This window comes from Homo sapiens, chromosome 1, assembly GCF_000001405.40.
Source record: "Homo sapiens chromosome 1, GRCh38.p14 Primary Assembly".
Taxonomy (NCBI): domain Eukaryota; kingdom Metazoa; phylum Chordata; class Mammalia; order Primates; family Hominidae; genus Homo; species Homo sapiens.
The window spans coordinates 172906543-172909993 of NC_000001.11; the positions used below are offsets into that span (position 1 = coordinate 172906543).

Here is a 3451-nt window from a genome sequence, read left to right on the forward strand (position 1 = left end):
TCAATTATGACACATTAATTAGAAGCAAAGGAAATTTTAAAACCATGTAGAGAATTCTATTTTCATGAAATTTTTACAAGAGATTTTTTTTTTATAAATGTCAAAACAGGTAGGGAACTATAGATAGGCAGATAATGATGGAGGGTGCAAATTTAGTAGTGACTAAACCATCAGGACATTCTATGGGGATGGCATCTCCATTTACAGGAACTAGATACCATGGCAGTAGAAAATCATTTACACATTCACTCTTGGAGCCTCAATGCTCTGATGAACAGGCTGGCTTCTCTCCAGTAGCTATGAGACTCAAATGAGATATTTGAACACTGCTCTTTAAATGTGCTAAATTCCTTCTGCCTTAGATCTTAAGCCACTGCTGATCTTCTTAGAACCACACACCGCAGGTGCTTCCCTGTGGAAACTGCAAATGTTTACTCTGTCTTCCACCTTTGAATGACTTAGAACATGTTGTGGCTAAGGTTCATTCGTTATCAACATTCAGAAACTGCCATTTCCTTTTCTACCTGCAAAGCCTAATAATAACTTTTTAAACTATTGCTTCCTTTGCATATTCACCATACATCCTGCTTTCAGATGTGGAATCTAAAACCTTGCTGAGAAACTGCCTCCAATGTTGCTCCCTTAACTTTCACTGTGGAAAACTCTGAAGGAAGTTGGCCGCACCATTTAATGGAAGCATGAGGAACTAGGTAAATTGCTTGCCCTTAATAAGCCTTCAGATTTTGAACTCTTCTTTCATCCTTGAGAGACAAAAATGCTATCATTAATTTAACAAAGCTCCTTGCCATCACTAAAGTTTTTTTATATTTCCTGTAGTCTCTTTCCTTTAGATATGTATGAAAATGGCTCCACTGTGACTCAGCAGATGGCTCCACTGTGACTCAGCAGATCTCCAGGATTTTCCTGTGTAGTTTCTGTTTTGGCTTTCATCTGGTGGGAACTGACTGCTACAGGACCGAGGCTTTTAAATCAAACCCAAATAACAAAATGTATTTAGAGCTGAAAAAGGTGGTGCCATCAGGCTGGGGTGGGGATGAGGAAGTGATTCATTACCCCAGTTGGAATGTAAATTCAATGAGTTTAATTACTAGTGGTGTCAAAAAAGGATTTTCACTGATAGCAATATTCTGTGTTTTTTTCTTAACTTTTATTTTAAGTTCAGGGGTGCATGTGCAGGTTTGTTGTATAGGTAAACTCGTGTGATAGGGGGTTTGTTGTACAGATTATTTCATCACCCAGGTACTCAGCCTAGTAGCTATTAATTATTTTTCCTGATCCTATCCCTCCTCCCACCTTCCATCATCTGTTAGGCCCCAGTGTCTGGTGTTGCCCCCAGTGTGTTCTCCTCATTTAGCCTCCACTTATAAGTGAGAACGTGTGGTATTTGGTTTTCTGTTCCTGCATGAGTTTGCTGAGGATAATCGCTTCCAGTTCCACCCATGTTCCTGCAAAGAACATGATATCATTATTTTTTGTGGCTGTATAGTATTCCATGGTGTATATGTACCACATTTTCTTTATCCAATCTACCTTTGATGGGCATTTAGGTTGATCCCATGTCTTTGCTATTGTGAACAGTGCTGCAATGGACATATTCATATGTGCATATGTTTTTATAATAGAATGATTTATATTTCTTTGGGTATATGCCCTAGCCAAGGCAATCCTAAGCAAAAACAACAAAGCAGGGGGCATCATGCTACCTAACTTCAAACTATACTACAGGGCTACAGTAAACAAAACAACATGGTACTAGTACAAAAACAGACACATAGAAAAATGGAACAGAATAGAGGGCCCACAAATAAGCCTACATAGTTGCAACCATCTGATCTTCAACAAAGTGACAAAAACAAGCAATGGAGAAAAGACTCCCTATTCAATAAATAGTGCTGGGATAACTGACTAGCCATATGCGGAAGATTGAAACTGAACCCCTTCCTTATACCATATACAAAAATCAACTCAAGATGAATTAAATACTTAAATAGAAAACCCAGAACTATAAAAACCCTGAACAATACCATTCTGAACATAGGAATGGGCAAAGATTTCATGACGAAGATGCCAAAAGCAATTGTAACAAAAGCAAAAATTGACAAATGGGATCTAATTAAACTAAAGAGCTTCTGCACAGCAAAAGAAACTGCTGAGCGAACAGACAACCTACAGAATGGGAGAAAATTTTAGGAAACTATGCATTGGACAAAGGCCTAATAACCAACATCTACAAGGAACTTAAACTTACAGGAAGAAAACAAACAACCCCATAAAAAGTGGGCAAAGAACATGAACAGACACATTTCAAAAGAAGACATACATGCAGCTAGAAAGCCTACGAAAAAAGCTCAATATCACCGATCATTAGATAAATGCAAATCAAAACCACAATGAGATACCATCTTACATCAGTCAAAATGGCTATTATTAAAAAGTCAAAAAATTACAGGTGCTGGTGAGGTTGTGGGAAAAAGGAACATGTATACACTGTTGGTGATGGTGGGAATGTAAATTAGTTCAACCATCGTGGAAAGCAGTGTGGCAATTCCTCAAAGAGCTAAAAACAGAACTACTATTTGACCCAGCAATCCCATTACTGGGTATATACCCAAAGGAATATAAATCGTTCTGTCATAAAGATAGCAATATTGTTAAAGCTACTCACTGAAGATTAGCAAAACTGTTAATTCAAGCCAAGAGTCGTTACTCATAAAAATTTAAGTAGCTTTTACTTGCTGCATGTTGGAAAGGCCAAGACTCAAGAATCCAGACTTTTTGGGCAGAATAGGTCCAAACCCCACATACTAAAAAAAAGGTTGGTGGGGAGGGGACAAGTGTGAGGTAAAAGAGCATGTGGCACTCTGGACCTTTAGGATTAAAGAAAATAACCAACCCAGGGGTCTAGTGAGGAGTGCATTTGCCAGAGCTGCAAGCAGGATTACTATGGTTTATACCAAAACCTCAAATACAGTACCTCCCTTCCTGGACTTTCATGGAAACTCCCTCTTATCATTCTTGGTCCTTGTTTTACTTATATACTTACATTCAAAAAGATTTTAAGAAGCAGAGGTAATCATTTCCTCCCTCTTTTCGCATTTTTTCCTTGGATGACTAAGCTCTCATTCCACACCAAAGAGGATGTTTATTCCAAAGCTGCTTGTGGTATAGGATAGGCTCCGAGACTATCCCACGTACACAGGATAGGCTCCAAGACTATCCCACATACATCTGTGCAAAGGGTAGCTCAGCTGACCAGTTGGCCAGGACAGGGCTACAGCTATCATTGGAAAACACTGAGAGGCATACCTATTCCATACAGTACTGAGAGGGGCCGTGGACAGCTGGGGACTGAGTCTTTCTGCTTCTCAGCCCAGATTATCATCAGCCTGGACTCTGAGCAATGCTGTGAGAGTGAGAATGCTAAAAACAC

General features: G+C 39.2%; 1 annotated feature.

Moving 5' to 3' along the window:
- Positions 281 to 1480: an enhancer, noted in NCBI's record as "MED14-independent group 3 enhancer chr1:172875963-172877162 (GRCh37/hg19 assembly coordinates)". NCBI's record gives its function as "activates an origin of replication core promoter dependent on BRD2, BRD4, P300/CBP and CDK7 cofactors, and independent of MED14, by STARR-seq in HCT116 cells {active_cell/tissue: HCT116}" and the evidence as "EXISTENCE:reporter gene assay evidence [ECO:0000049][PMID:35650434]".